The sequence below is a fragment of the Homo sapiens genome, chromosome 12 (genome assembly GCF_000001405.40).
Source record: "Homo sapiens chromosome 12, GRCh38.p14 Primary Assembly".
Taxonomy (NCBI): domain Eukaryota; kingdom Metazoa; phylum Chordata; class Mammalia; order Primates; family Hominidae; genus Homo; species Homo sapiens.
The window spans coordinates 25986947-26002707 of record NC_000012.12 but is presented as its reverse complement, the minus strand read 5'-3'; the positions used below and the strand labels follow the sequence as shown (position 1 = coordinate 26002707).

General features: G+C 37.3%; 1 protein-coding gene across 12 annotated transcripts in view, besides 3 other annotated features; it reads right to left on the bottom strand.

Moving 5' to 3' along the window:
• The window catches only part of RASSF8 (Ras association domain family member 8), a 121658-nt gene that overhangs the window by 77182 nt on the left and 28715 nt on the right, over positions 1 to 15761 (bottom strand). For 9 of the 12 annotated variants that reach the window (NM_001394094.1, NM_001394096.1, NM_007211.5 and 6 more), the window contains exon 2: positions 7578 to 7671. The exons of the other annotated variants lie outside the window; for them this stretch is intronic. The gene's annotated coding sequence lies outside the window, so the exon portion shown is untranslated. The remainder of the gene's footprint in view (positions 1 to 7577; positions 7672 to 15761) is intronic. 12 annotated transcript variants of the gene reach the window in all.
• Positions 3620 to 4376: an enhancer, noted in NCBI's record as "NANOG-H3K27ac-H3K4me1 hESC enhancer chr12:26151265-26152021 (GRCh37/hg19 assembly coordinates)". NCBI's record gives its function as "activates a minimal SCP1, AML or CMV promoter by ChIP-STARR-seq in primed H9 embryonic stem cells {active_cell/tissue: H9 hESC(primed)}" and the evidence as "EXISTENCE:reporter gene assay evidence [ECO:0000049][PMID:30033119]".
• Positions 4377 to 5133: an enhancer, noted in NCBI's record as "NANOG-H3K27ac-H3K4me1 hESC enhancer chr12:26150508-26151264 (GRCh37/hg19 assembly coordinates)". NCBI's record gives its function as "activates a minimal SCP1, AML or CMV promoter by ChIP-STARR-seq in primed H9 embryonic stem cells {active_cell/tissue: H9 hESC(primed)}" and the evidence as "EXISTENCE:reporter gene assay evidence [ECO:0000049][PMID:30033119]".
• Positions 4758 to 5052: a silencer, noted in NCBI's record as "tiled region #880; HepG2 Repressive non-DNase unmatched - State 24:Quies, and K562 Repressive non-DNase unmatched - State 24:Quies". NCBI's record gives its function as "represses a minimal TATA promoter and a strong SV40 promoter by Sharpr-MPRA in HepG2 and K562 cells {active_cell/tissue: HepG2 | K562}" and the evidence as "EXISTENCE:reporter gene assay evidence [ECO:0000049][PMID:27701403]".

Genomic DNA, 15761 nt, shown 5'->3' with positions numbered 1-15761 from the left:
TGCCTCCTGGGTTCAAGTGATTCTCCTGTGTCAGCCTCCTGAGTAGCTGAAATTACAGGTGTGCGCCACCACGCTTGGCTAATTTTTTTCTATTTTTAGTAGGAAGGGGTTTCACCATGTTGGTCAGGCTGGTCTCAAACTCCTGACCTCGTGATCTGCCCGCCTTGGCCTCCCAAAGTGCTGGGATTACAAGCGTGAGCCACTGTGCCTGGCCAATAATTTTTTATATAATACAGGTATTAACTCTATTTGTTTTTTTTTGTTTGTTTGTTTTTGAGATGGAGTTTTGCTCTTTCACCCAGGCTGGAGTGCAGTGACGCAATCTCGGCTCACTGCACCCTCCACCCTCTGGGTTCAAGCGATTCTCCTGCCTCAGCCTCTCGATTAGCTGGGATTATAGGCACCTGCTACCAAGCCCGACTAATTTTTGTATTTTTAGTAGAGACAGGGTTTTGCCATGTTGGCCAGGCTGGTCTCAAACTGCTAATCTCAGGTGATCCACCCGCCTTGGCCTCCCAAAGTGCTGGGATTACAGGCATAAGCCACTGTGCCCAACCAACTCTATTTGTTATATATTGTAATTATATACTATGTCATACAGTCATGCTCTACATAACAATGTTTTAGTCAACGATGGACCACATATAGCCCCATTAGATTACACTGGATCTGAAAAATTCCTACTGGCCTAGTGACGGCGTAGCCATCATAGCATTGTAGCACAATGCATTCATTACTCAAGTGTCTGTGCTGATGCTGGTGTAAGCAAACTCACTGCACTGCCAGTCTTAGAAACAGCACTTACAATTATTTACAATGCATAATATTTGAAAATGATAATAAATGACTATGTCACCAGTTTGTGTATTTACTATACTCTTAATCCACACTTTAAAGGGTATTCCTTCCTTTTTTTTTTTAAGTTAACTGTAAAACAGCCTCAGGCAGGTCCTTCAGGAGGTATTCCAGCAGAAGGCACTGTTATCATAGGAGATGACAGCTCTATGTGTGTTATAGCCCCTGAAGACCTTCCAGTACGACAGGATGTGGAGGTGAAAAGTGATATTGGTAATCTCAACCCTGTGTAGACCTAGGCTAAAATGTGTGTTTGTGTCTTAGTTTTTAACAAAAAAGTTCGAAAATAAATAATTTTAAAAATAGAAAAAAGCTTATAGAATAGGAATATAAACAAAACATATTTGCACAGCTGTACAATGTATTTGTATTTTAAGCAAAGTGTTATCACAAAAGAATCAAAAAGTTAAAATTAAAAAGTTCATAAAGTAAAAAAGTTATATAGTAAGCTAAGGTTAATTTCATATTGAAGAATAAAAATTGTTAATAGGCAAAACACAGTGGATAAAAATTTTTAATTTTTAAAACTTAAAAATAGGCCTGTAATCCCACCTATTTCAGAGGCTGAGGTGGTTGGACTGCTTGAGCCCAGGAGTTCAACTCCAGCCTGGGCAACATAGTGAGACCTTGTTTCTACAAAAAAAAAAAAAAAATTAAAAATTAGCCGGGTATGATGGAATGCACTTTTAAAAAATTAAAAATTAGCTGGGTGTGGTGAAATGCACTTGTAGTCCCAGCTACTCGATAGGCTGAAGCGGGAGGATCACTTGACCCCAGGAGGTCAAGGCTTCAGTGAGCTGTGACAATGCCACTGCACTCCAGCCTGGGTGACAGAGACCCTAGTCTCAAAAAAAAAAAAAAAAAAAAAAAGGAAATTTTAAAATACATGTGCAGCTTAAGTACACAGTGTTTACAAAGTTTACAGAAGAGTGCAATAATGTCCTCGGCCCTCACATTCACTAAACAATCACTGCCTCACCCAGAGCAACTTCCAGACCTGCAAGCTCCATTCTAGGCAATACCCCATACAGGTGTACCACTTTTAAATCTTTTATACAGTATTTCTACCATACCTTTTCTATGTTTAGATACGTTTAGATACACAAATATCTACCACTGTATTACAATTGCCTACCGTATTCAGTACAGTCACATGCTGTAAAGGTTTGTGGCCTAGGAGCCATGGGGTATCATATGGCCTGGGTGTGTAGGAGGCTATACCATCTAGGTTTGTAGAAGTACACTCTATAATTTTCGCACCCCAACAACAATCACCTAGACACATTTCTCAATGTGTATTCCCGTTAAGTGACAGATGACTGTATATTACCAATGTAATTATATATTAATAATGTAATTACATATTATAGAAAGAAAAAAATTTGAATACATGACTTGAATATTTTCCCCAGGTGACTGCCTTTTTGTACATGATATAAGCAAAATTAAATTATTTTAATTTTTAGTATCATTACACATAGGAATTATTCCATTTAACATTTGCTTCTATGTTTTAGTAGCTTCTTTCTCCCAAGCCCAAGATAGATATTCATATACACTCTTTTCTAGTATATGTATTACTACATTTTTACATTCATTATTTGCAGTGGCACTTTTATCAACACAACATTCTTCTGAGCTTTCCATTCTGCTCCAAATATTTGTCTATTTTATCAAAATCATACCATTTTCAAATTAATGTCTAGCATTACAACTTTTCCTTCATTATTCTTCTTTACCGTATAAACATTTCTTGGCTCTTATTTATTCTATAAAAATGTAAAATAATTCAGAATCACTGATCTATGAGAAATTCCTGAGATTTTGCTTGGAGTTATATTCAACTTACAAATCAATATAAAATATTAAAACTAACTAAAGAATTGTCTTCCTATCCAGAAACATAAGTCTCCTCATTATCTTCAGAGCAAAGTTCACTAGTTTCCTTTCTACAGGCCAATTGCATTTCTTACCGAGTTTAATCCCTGGCATATTTTTTGTTGCTACTATGAATGGGCTTTTTTCCTCATACTTTTAAACTGGTTATTATTATCATACACAAAAGATCATGATATTTACATGATTTACAGTGGAACCCTACTAAACTACATTTTAGTTGATTGCCTTGGGAACTTTTTATTATCTGCAAATAATTTTTAGTCTCCTTTTCAATAGTACTCTCTGTCACCCAGGGTGGAGCACAGTGGTGTAATCCTCCCACCTCAGCCTCCGGAGTAGCTGGAACTACAGGTTGCAATCCTGTGCCCAGCTGATTTTTAAAAATTTTTTTTGTAGAGACAGGGTCTTGAACTCCTGAACTCAAGTGATCCTCCTGCCTCAGCCTCCCAAAATGCTGGGATTACAGTTGTGAGCCACCATGCCTGGCCCATCAGTGCTATTTTAGACACTACTGATAACAGCAAGTATGTTGCAAATTCTAATAATTTTAGGTCAAATTCACTGTTTTAGTATTTTGGCTGAGCTTGATCTCAATGTTGTTTACAAAATTATAGATACTTCCCATAGAAAGTGCTATATAAATATTAGTCATTGTTATCAATATCACAGAGCATGGTTTGGTGGAAAAAGTTTCTCTTGATTTCACTGTGAATCAGGAAACTAATTTGGGTTTGAAATTATTGAGCCCTCTAAAGGTTAACCTGATCACTTCTCCTCCATGACCCAGGCTAGTTTAGGTAGGTAAACCTCACTCATCTCTCCCTCCATCAGAAGACTCACCTACCATACTGCTGTGTCATTTTCTTATTTACTTGTCCCAGAGCCTGTAAAAACCATGATGGTAAGGTCTTTGTCTTGTTTATTGTTTAAGCCTACCTGGCAAATAACAGATCCTCAATAAATTATATACTGACTAGAAAAAAAAATTATAGATACTTCCCATAAAATATTAACAGTAAATATCTCTAAACATTGAGAGGAGTGATGTTATTTTCCTTCACATTTTCCCGGTAAACTGATTTCTGATTTTGTTTTTTTATTAATTAGACTAGCCATGAACTCTCCCTATTTATTTTCCAAGTTTCCTTAAATGAATGGACACACATACACGCCCACACATACTCACTCTTACCACCTTATTTCTCCTAGTATTCTTTCTTTGAGAATTTTTAACTTCAAATAATCTTAGCTAGCATTCAATATCTTGCAGAAGGCAAGAGAGAATCAAACCTTAAGAAAAGCTTTCTTGCCAGGCGCGGTGGCTCACGCCTGTAATCCCAGCACTTTGGGAGGCTGAGGTGGGCGGAACATGAGGTCAAGAGATCGAGACCATCCTGGCCAAAATGGTGTAACCCCGTCTGTAATAAAAATACAAAATTAGCCAGGAGTGGTGATGCATGCCTGTAATCCCAGCTACTCCAGAGGCTGAGGCAGGAAAATCGCTTGAACCCAGGAGGCGGAGGTTGCGGCGAGCCAAGATCACGCCATTGCACTCCAGCCTGGGCAACAAGAGTGAAACTCCATCTCAAAAAAAAAAAAAAAAAGCTTTGTCTTCAGAAACAATATTCTACAGTCCTTTGTGAAAGATATCTAAAAATGATGTCTGGATACAAATTTCTCAAAGTAAGCTGATTCCACTAATAAAAACGATGCCTCATCCTTTTTACTAAAATACATTTGTACCCAATTAAGACTGCAGTACAAAATGCCATCAAATAAAAATATTAGCAAACTGATAATAGGGAAGTCATAACATTCTCGAATCAGAGCTTCATGAAAACCAAATTCCAATATTCTTAATATTAGACTTGCACGTTAACCAATGGATATGGCAATTTCTTCAATCAGTATCAAATCCTGTTTCTTTCATATTTCATTAAGTAATCATCACACCAAACCTGTCTCAAAATCTGAAATAACTAGTTTGCGATACATTATCAGAAAATGTCAATCTCAAATATAAACAGCTGAACTTTTTTCATTTTTATTCTACTAGGGAAGTTTCAAAGCACTGAAACATGCAAATTATTACTCATCTTCTAAAAACGGAAATAAAATAATTAGGTCACAATGGATGGCTCCTTTCTTGGCCAAAAAAAGGATGATGAATGCAATTGGAATGTTTATTGTCACTGAAATTCTTCAGGCCTGGATTCCAAGTATGCGTCTTGATGCAGGTTACTATGACAACTTAAATTACAGAAAATGTCACCCCCCTCCTACCAAGTAGTTTTCTCTGCAAGATCATTTCAAGCCTTCTAAAACTTGCATGCACAAATTATCTGTAACAATAAACACCTCGTTACAAGTTTTATTCAAAAATGCCCCTATGTAAACCCGTAAAAACAGGTATAAGCATATAAAAATAATTCCATTAAATCTACATGGGATAGAAAAACCTGAAAACACATACACTCACACACACACATACACACACCCTTTAAAATATAAAATATTGAGAGTATTTTTAAACTACTTTCCATTACCAGAGGCACAGTACATTACTGCCATATGTTTCATTCCAGAAAGTATGGAAAATTACTTGGAAGGCAGTTTTGAACTATTATAGAACTAAGTCCTGTTTATCATTATTTTCCCTTCACTAACGTATTTTATGGGAAGGTACTAGAAAGGGGGGATGAGGGAAGATTACGGTCCTATCTAGAACAGAAAGACAAGCAAATAAATAATCTGTAAAATTTATTGTTTTACCCAATCTGTCTTTTTACACAAAATATGGGCTTTAAACTTTCTTTTCACACAGCCTAACAAAGGTATCTCGTGATAAACTGTAAATTATTCTCTAATATCACATGCTGTAAAAGAAAAATGGCTCAAGAGAAACTGCATCATTATGGGGAAAAAAATGTAATTTAGTAGAAAGCTATTCTGATTGCAAGAAATTAAAAATTTTAAGTAGCTCCATGAAAAAAACTTAAGATAGTTTTACAGTGTAGCAATACTGAGACTTCAAGGCTGGTTTTGCTGACCACCAAAGTTAACATGACTAGAACTGGATGTTTCATTCAGAAAGGTTTAGGGAAGTCCCTCTCCTGTAAACCAGGTTCAGTAGCCAACAGAGGCAAACAAGTTTTCTAAGTTTCAGGTACAAATGTACCTCAATGCTAGGTAAACCCTTCATTTATTTAAAACCTTTTTAAATAACACTTCATTCAAAAAAGGGAAACAAAGCAGTAAGCTAAAGGCGTCTCTTTGTACTGTAAGTCAAGGATCAAAATTAAAGGCTGCTGACCTAGAGAATATTGAATGTTTGAGAAGAAACCGCAAAAAATGAAAACTCTTCAGCAGCAATCCCCAATCAATCAAACTCATACAATCCCCACCTGTATTAGTGGATAACTACTAGTGATCCAGAGAAACAAAACAACTAAAATGTTCAAACCCAAATACACAAAATCCCCAAACATTAAGCCTCAACCACAGTTCCTCTTGGTATAACTTACACATAGATCCTCCTTAATAAAAAATAATTAATGTATAAAAGAAAGCTTTATAGCACAGCTTCATCAGTAATGGTAGTCAAAACTAAAATTTAAGTGACAATCAGAGAGAACTTTAGTCAATTGTACTACATAGCACATTACTTTTTTCTTATGCTTTTCCTTTTTAGGCCATATTACAAATGGCAAGGCCTTAAAAATAGGGTCTGAATAGGCTTTTTTGACTCTCACGTGGATATAACAAAATTGCCTTATTAGAATCAGGCTATCTTTTGACTCTCAACATTTGCAGCCTTCTAGTCATGGTTTTTGCTAATGCTGTAAGCAACATACCAGGGTCTACAAAAGGGCAACTGAACTGGTGAGGATGTGGATTTGTGGTTTTAGGAGTCCAGTCTCTCCATATAATCTAGCAATTATTAGAAGGCTGTGAAGTTAAAGTTTTTTATTTCAGGGGGAAATCAGTTTATGTGAGACCTTCGAGATCCAGCATCTAGTTAAAAATGCACACACATAACTTTTGCAAATGAGAGATTAAGGAATTTATGAGACAGCACGCTGGCTGGTGCCCTTACAGAGTTTATTTACCTGTAAAGTGTGAAGAATTTATTCATAAGTGATTTACCTACTACAAACAAGGTCAAATTATTTTCCCTCCTGGGACGAATAAGTCATTTAAATGCTCAAGAGACAAGAGATGATATACAGCAAGCATACTAAAACTGAGATGTAATTTAGTTGAATATCCTTACCTAAGGAGATTTTTATGCCCCCCCTTGACTTAATGAAGCCAATAATAGACATTATTTAAAAAATGGAAACACAAGCTAAAGGATTTTCCAGACTTACCAAGATTATTATAGAGAAAAGTCTGAAAAACTAGTTAGCCATCAAGATTTTCTAGCCTTTCATTATTAGAAATACTTCTCTGCTTTAAAAGAGGTTGCCAATTTATAGCATTAGTAGAATAGTGCTCAGAAAGCCCAAGAGTGGTGACACACAGCTTTGAAATATTTTGCTTCAGACTCCAAACTTGAAACCTAAGGCATATTTTATGATGCTTTTAGTGTCGACCCAAATTTGGACCTAGGAATTATACTGCAGTGGTAACAGATACTATCACCACCTATACTTAGTCCTTCTCTAAATAAATGGCTTACAAATGATGATTCTTAAGACTTTACTAATGAACATGATCTATAAAAGTCTCCCAAAACTTTGAAAGGTTTTTTTAAAAGTCATTGAAAGTGCTACTCTTCTAGGATATAATGCATGTAAGGAGTACACCTCAGCACCACTCACCTCAGCAGGCAGGAGTCTCCGAGCCAGTGAGAATGAGGTAGTCTTGAGGAAGGACAGCACCACACAGGTATTCTAGGATGATCTACACAGGCACCTGCAAAGGTACATAGGGTTCTTACAGTCCTGGCTAATTTGTATCTTAAAAATACTAAATCATTCCATTTTAACATACAATCACCAAAGAGCAAAACACAAGTGTATGGCTTCAGATAATTTTCCTAAGAATTTTCCTCCCCTGTCCCCACTCTTCCCCCTTAGCCATTTGAATTGCAGTCCTTGTGGGGTGGGTTTGTTTGGTTTGGTTTCAATTAGCATTTTTGTGCTTTTGAAAAAGGAATTTCAGTTGTTTCTATAAAAGGTCATTTGATTGGCCTATGGAGTTCTAGGAGAGACTTTGTGTCTTCTTTTTCTACTGACCCCAGCTCCCTGTGATACCACACTGATTTCTTGAAAGTAGCTTTACATTTGGAAAATTGCCTAAAGCCAGGGCTAAAACTGAAGTTGAAGGAGACCTCTCAGGTCTTCAGTCCTAAAAAATAAAAACAAAAATACACTGCACTTTTCCTTGGTAAGTACAAATTCCTACTACTGACTAACCTAAGAAAGAGGGTAACTTGGCACCATTTCTTTTGACCATTTTACTGCCTAATGCTGTGAGAATGTGAAACTTTGCCACAACATTAGCTATAAAGAAAGCCCAAGGAAGAAATCTTGGCCGCAAGATGGGAATTGACGCAATTCATATGTCTGCCACATTCAGACTATGCCCTTCACAGATGTTTCTGCATTTATTTATAGAAAGATTTACTTTAGCAACAAGACCAGCTTCCATCAACCATTTTTTTTTTTTTTAAAAATCTATCCAGACATCAAACTACTTTTATTATGAATAGAAAATACCGCCCCCAAATGTTAAAATCCTTAAATTTCCTAGTCATGAAATAATATGAAATATCAAATTAGAGCATAAGAAGAAAGAACTGGCAGACCCCAAATCTGATGCAAATGTAAGAAAACATACACATTTCAAACACCACTGAGGAAGGGGAAAGTTAGTCCAAAGTTTCCCCTTTCATAGCTGGGCTCTCCCTGCACAGCTGCTATAGCCCTGAATGAAGACTTTGTCTCCAAAGCTGGTTACTACACTCACACTTCATATAACTTAATAGTTGTTATAAAAATGCCAATGGCTTCCTGATTATTTTTTACATAGTGTTACAGTTGTAACAAAAAGGTGCACTAGTGCCCGCTTCCAAATCTTAAAAAGAAAGTAGCAGTCACATTATTTTTTTTTTCTAATAAAAATACATAGGTTTAAGCTAGCTGGATACACAGAATTTCTACTGCATCTTCTTATACCAGATGTTGAGTTAGAGTCTTCTGGCTTCAAGTAGACCTACCTACCTCCTAAAGAAGATAAAAGAAATATACACATGTGAGGGTGACAGGACTTGGCAAAAGAGCCTGTCTGTGGACGGTGCCATCCAAAAAGCAATGAAGGGTCAACCCTGCTGCGAAAGACGACTGGATAGCAAATTGAAAACCAAGTGAGAAGAGGCTAAATAGACTAACAACTACCCTCATTCCCATCCTTGGGCCTGGGAGCTGTCTGAAGTCTAGCCTGGTTTCTAAACTATTCTTATTTACCTAAATCAAAATCTCTTCCTAACCAACTTTTCTTCAGTAAAGCCTCATCTCATCTCTCTTTTTAGTTGTGTTTTCAAGAAAAACTTTTAAGAGTGGGAAGTAGATAGCTGAGAATGAGTTTCTAAAACTGACATAATTGTTATCTTCTTCATCCATAAAATAAGGTTGTCACTAGAGCCAGAGATTTAAAGGCCAAAAAGATTATGGTGCTTATTCTCCCATATGTAATTCAAACTGACACTAACATATATGCAGAGATTAAAATCTCTCTTTCTTAAACTTTTATAATTGCAAAATTCACTATGAGATGAGATGAGCGGTGCAGGGAGCGGGGGCAGTTCTGTGGGTACCCTGGGAATGTAATGTGCTCAGGGTGTCTCTGGGAAATGCCAAGCTTGACAAAAGTCAGGGCTTGGGCTCTTGTGAACCTGCCCCCCACCCTCAGCTCCCCATTGATTCCTACAACCTCCTAACTACTCAATCCATTGTTCACTCTTCACCAGGTCACTTTACAAAAACTAACAAACCAAAAGATCCAATCCTATTATCCTACTGCTTTTGAAAGTCTCCACAAAAAAGTTCAACCTTCTTTTGTCAGGTAACTGCAGTGACAAAATGTTCCTAACCATAAATACAAACATGAGCTCTGGCAGGTGTGCGAGTACCTAGGAAGGCAATGAGAAACAAGAGGCTTAAGTGAAAACGGTCTCAGGAAACTGCAGGCACTGTGTTTTTTCCACAAACCCCTTCACATCCCTTCCCGTGGCTGTCCAGGCCCACCTCCAGTGCCTCCCCTGAAGCCACCATGTAGCATGCATTACCTCACCCCACTTCAGTTTCCCTGCCTCTCCTTCAAGTTGGCATCCCAGGTGCGGGCCTTACCAAATTTTTGTGCTGGCCAAACTCCAACTCACTCTCCAAGACTCCACTCAAATATGATCTCATCACTCCCTGGAAACTCCCCTTATCAAAACTAGTCACTCCAGGTATTCTCAAGTGGCTGACACTTAGTACTCACTGGTACTGTTCATCGAATTCTCACAACAACCCTGTGAGGCAGGTAATATGTAATAAGGGAATAATTAGAAAAGAATCAAAAGGTTAAATAACTGGCCCAGGGTCATAGAGCTAAACAGGAGAGGCAAGAACTGAACTCAAGCAAATTGACCTCAGAGCCCATGTTCTTCAACAACTGTTTGAAATGTTTGCCTCTTCTTGAGGGCAGAGACACTTTGCACTGACACCTGCATTCACATTGCCTAACACATAAGTGGTACTCAATAAATGTCTGCTGAAGGCTTGATGAATTCAGAGGGTTTTACAGAATGGCAGCAGATTGTACAGTGGTTCTGAGCTTATCCTCAGTGAAAGTCCTGCTCACCTAAATGATTCCTTTTACCTAGATATAATACTCCTATTACCACATGTCTGAAAAACAGTTATCTATTATACAAATATTTGAAATGACCATAAATCAATGAACACCAACATGTAATTATGGGGAAAAGGAGAGGATAAAAATTGGGGCAGCCCCACCAATAATTATATTATTTTTGGTAAAACTTAACGTGATTCAAACATTAATTGGACACTTATAAAAATGTGCTAAAGATTAAGCATTCTTTTATTTTGGTAGCTGGCCTCCACAATGGCCCCCAATGGTTTTCACACCCTTGTGTATTCTTCTCCTACAATGAACAGAGATAACCTGTACAGCCAACAGGATATTGTGGAATGATGACATAAAGACATGGTAGCTTCCATCTTGCTCTCTCTGATCACTTGTCCTGATATAAGCCAGACATTCAAGCAGCCCTATGGAGAGGTCCACATGGTGAGGAGCTGAGGCCTTCTGCCAACAACCAGCGCAAATTTGTGAGGCATGTGAGTGAACCACCTTGGAAGTAGATTTTCCAGCCCCAGTCAAACCTTCATGTAGACTACGTACAAAATGGACTGTCACCTAGGTTGCAACCTTATTAAAGATCCAGAATTAAAACCATTCACCCAAGCCATTCCTGGATCCCTGATCCAAAGAAACTAGGTGAGAGTTCAAAAAAAGAAAAAAAAAAAAGTTACGTCTGTAGGCATGGGGCAACTTGTTATGCAGTAATAAGTAATTTATTTAAATTAAATAGTTTATAGCAATGCAAATAGAAGTTATTGATGTTAACACAATATCAGGTTATTGTAATTTCTAAACACTGAACAAAAGCAAAATAGAATGCTCAAGAATAACTCAAGAGCAAAATAAATTCCAGTTTCCAAGAGGCTCTACCTTTTTTTTTTAAACAACAGAAGAATGCAAACCCTTCATTTCCTTGTATATTTCTTTTAATGACAGCTGATTAATTGTTGGGTGTGCTCCCTTCCTCCAAACTAGGCCCACCAGGACAGATAATCAATGGACAATATTGACATTTCTATTACTGTAAAAATGAGAAGAGTTTATTGCTCTGGTTATTTAAGTATTATAGATCAGCTAAAAAGTCTAAAAGTTTTGGAGGAAACCAGCTACTCTCTACTCTGTGACTCCAAGATCCCCAAAATGTTTTCTGTGTGTGTGTGTGTGTATTTTTTTAGGCACATTTCTTTTTATTGAAAAGAGAAAACCCGTTTGAAATTGTAAATATTCAACTACAAATAAACTATGGTAGCACATTTTCATAAGTGATATCCCTGTGTATCCACAAAATAAACTATAAATACTACAGAATTCTAAACTATTCCTAAATTTTTGTTGTCTAATAAAAGAGTGGGAACATTCAAGGTGGTTTTTTCACCTTGTCATCAAAATACAAAGACTTACATCTCCAAATATAATTCAGTTTTGCTAAACGCAATACACAATGTTAGTAAGGAAGGTATCTTAGGTTTTACATAGTCCATATGAAATGTTAATAAGATGATCACAGAAACAATAAGGTAGATATTCTATGGAAATAAATCCATTATGATGCTATTAAGCTATATTAGTTTGCAAAGCAGAGAAAAATGGTAATACCAAAATTAATTATTTATATAATAAACCTTTACCAAGCTCTTATCATATTTAAAATACCACAGGGATTACAATGATGAAGATATGGGTTTCATTCCACTAACTACAGTACTTGTGAAATGTAACTAATGCCTAGTAACAATAGTATCAAATAAATGTTTGATAAACACCAAAGAGATTTGGAAAAAAGCTACAGCAGAGTTCATACAAGAGAAATCACTAATGGCTGGTGGATATCCAGGAAGCCTTCATGAAATAAGCCCCTTATGCTTATATATGGCTGTAATTTTTTTTACTTTTTTCACATTAATTTATCAATATTCCCATTATACAGGTTATACAAAGTTGAGGTTAAGATTAGGTGACTTGATCAGGATGCATTTCCTTGCTTTAAAAAGTAATAATAGGCACTCAACAAATAAGTCCCAGGCACCACTCTGCCCAGTTCAGACACTGTTCACAACCTTGTCAAGGTCAATCCTACAGTCTCCATTTTGCACATGAAGAAACTAAGATTTCAGATTTAGTACCTTCCCGGGTTCAGGTGACTAGTAAACGGTGGAGCCCTGATTTGAACTCAGATGTACTTGATTTTAAAACTTCTGCCAGACTCCCATACTGGGTAAATTCACCTATCCCATGCTGCTCTTAGCAAATGTTCATACTCTCTACCATAATTCCTCCACCCCCATGCCCCACCACACCCTTGACCTAATAAACTGATCCATAAACCATAAGGAATTGAAATGCATCCTTGTTAGTCTTATGATTTGTTATTAAATGTTATGCAAGAAATCAGAAGAGTGGCAGAGGAGAAGGGATAAGACAAGAAAGAGATATGATCAATTGTTTTTTAAATAGCTAAGTAATCATTTTTGTTTAAACCAGTTTGGAAAATGAATTTCATCAACTTTAGTAGACAAGCTATAAGATGACTATTTGAATAAAGTCTCCTTCTCCTGGATAACACTTCAATATTTCACACAACAGAGAGCTTTTTTCAGAAAACCAACTTCGCCGTTTTGATAAGTATTCATCATATTATTTAGGTGTCTTCTATCATTCCAATTTGAATCAGAAAGAAAGAGGGGGTGGGGGGAAAGAAAGACACTGTTAAATGCCTATAGATTAAGACAAATATAAAACACACTAGTAGTAGAAACTGTGTTTCACTATAGAACACACATCAGAAAATGTGAAATCAGGACATACTAAAGGTTTACATCAAGGAAGCCCCCAGAAAAGAACAGTATGGCTGTGGGTGTGACCCAGTGATTATGAGAAAACATATGGTTGGGCCTTAGTTTTAAGAGAAAACATTCTGACAGGCAGAAATGTTGGGAGGGAAAGAAACCTGAAGAACAGACAAGTAGAATCACTCTGCAAAGGAGACATTGTAAATCTGTCTTTACTACCGCTTGGTAAGTACAAGGCTCTGTTGGAGGCACAGTGAGTTTGCAGAATTCCAGCAAGATAGGCATACCCCTCAGAGATGCTTTCTAAAATCAAGAAAAATTCAAAAAGCTAACTAGTTTTTAAGTTAAGTGAAGAAAATTACAAAGGTAATTAAACAGATGTTGTGAACCATCCTCCAGGAGACAGTTTCTCTAAACATACTATAGGAATTCTCGGGAGGTTTCCACACTGTTTTGTTACTTGTTTAGACCCATTTCCCTACCATACCATGGAATCCCATCCCATTTCTTCTTTATGGTCCCACCACCTAGCACAGGATCTGGCAAACTCAATAAATGAGAACCAGAGGAAGGCCAGGAGGGGTTCCTGATAAAGCAGGAATTTCACATACTATTTCCTGAACTGGCAGTGCAGGTGGCTGATACAAATCTCTCTTCTTCTCCCCTACAAATGATTGTTTAGTCATGAGGGAGAGGGCTATTTTCTAAATGAAAGAAATTTTTTTTATTAAATTGTGACTTTAAGTTCTATTTTTGTACTAACAGAAACGAATCCCAAATAATGACTGCAGTCACCATTCCCCAATCACCCTGGAAATTTTTCTAAATACTACAGATTGCTCTAGTTAACCCCATCTTAGCTCATCGGATTTGATTATCCAGCTTATTGTGTGAATTAACCATCTGTTCAATAATAGGACTGCTACCAGACAAAAAGAAAAGTTCCAAGATTGCTTTTAAAGACCTGACAGTTTTGAGTTGAAGGCTGTCTGCATGGATGTTTTATACTTTTTCCCACTGTGTTCCCTTTATGGTCTCAAAAAAACTTATTTTAAAAAGAGCCTACTAAAAAAGCAAGCTCAAATGCTAGGAAGGAATTCATTTTTTAAAAAATAACATTAATTTCGACCAGGCGTGGTGGCTCACACCTGTAATCCCAGCACTTTGGGAGGCCGAGGCAGGCAGATCACGAGGTCAGGAGTTTGAGACCAGCCTGGCCAGCATGGTGAAACCTTGTCTCTACTAAAAGTACAAAAAAAAAAAAAAAATTAGCCAGGCATGGTAGTGCATGCCTGTAGTCCCAGCTACTCAGGAGGCTGAGGCAGGAGAATCGCTTGAACCCGGGAGGCAGAGGTTGCAGTGAGACGAGATCACGCCACTGCACTCCAGCCTGGGTGACAGAGTGAGATTCCATTTCGAAAAAATAAATAAATAAATAATAAAAAACCAAAAATTAATTTCAAGCAACAATGACCTTCATTCTCTTTTTAAAAAAGAGCTGGTAGAAATTTTTGGCATATATTTTAAAAGGCAAAAAATATAGAAAGTGAATAATATTCTACTGTTGGATAGAAAATGAATACAATGTGTTGGCATGTTCAAGTATGTTTTAAACAACTATTTAATTTCCTAAATTGAGCTGTTGCATAATGTATGTTAATTCTGAATATTGTCCTTATTTCAGTGCAAAGAAAAGCATAAACAATAAAGCCACTTCAAGCTGAAGAAAAAATTATCCTTAGGTTTAAACACCACTTAAACCGGGCACTTGTACAGATTATACTTTACCTGTTTCTGAAACCTTATCATTTCCTGCCTTAGTATGGAATTAAAGCATCCCAGTTTTTGGCTCAATTTTGGTATACTCTCCTTGATGAAAGCTTATATTGGCTGTAATGCTGTGTTAATAATGTTCAATTTGGCTCCAGGCTAGTCAAAAAAATCTAAGAGGCATGACCGCATAGCTCACAAGATGTACTGTGGATTTTGGTCAGTTCATATCATGAACACTCACTGCCTAGCAACGGCTCCAAATGTCAAGAGTTCAATCCTGGGCCAGGCGTGGTAGCTCATGCCTGTAATCCCAGCACTTTGGGAGGCCGAGGCAGGTGGATCACCTGAGGTTGGGAGTTCGAGACCAGCCTGACCAATATGGAGAAACCCTGTCTCTACTAAAAATACAAAATTAGCTGGGCATGGTGGCACATGCCTATAATCCCAGCTACTCAGGAGGCTGAGGCACGAGAATCGCTTGAACCCGGGAGGCGAGGTTGCGGTGAGCTGAGATTGCGCCATTGCACTCCAGCCTGGGCGACGAGCGAAACTCCGTTGCAAAACAAA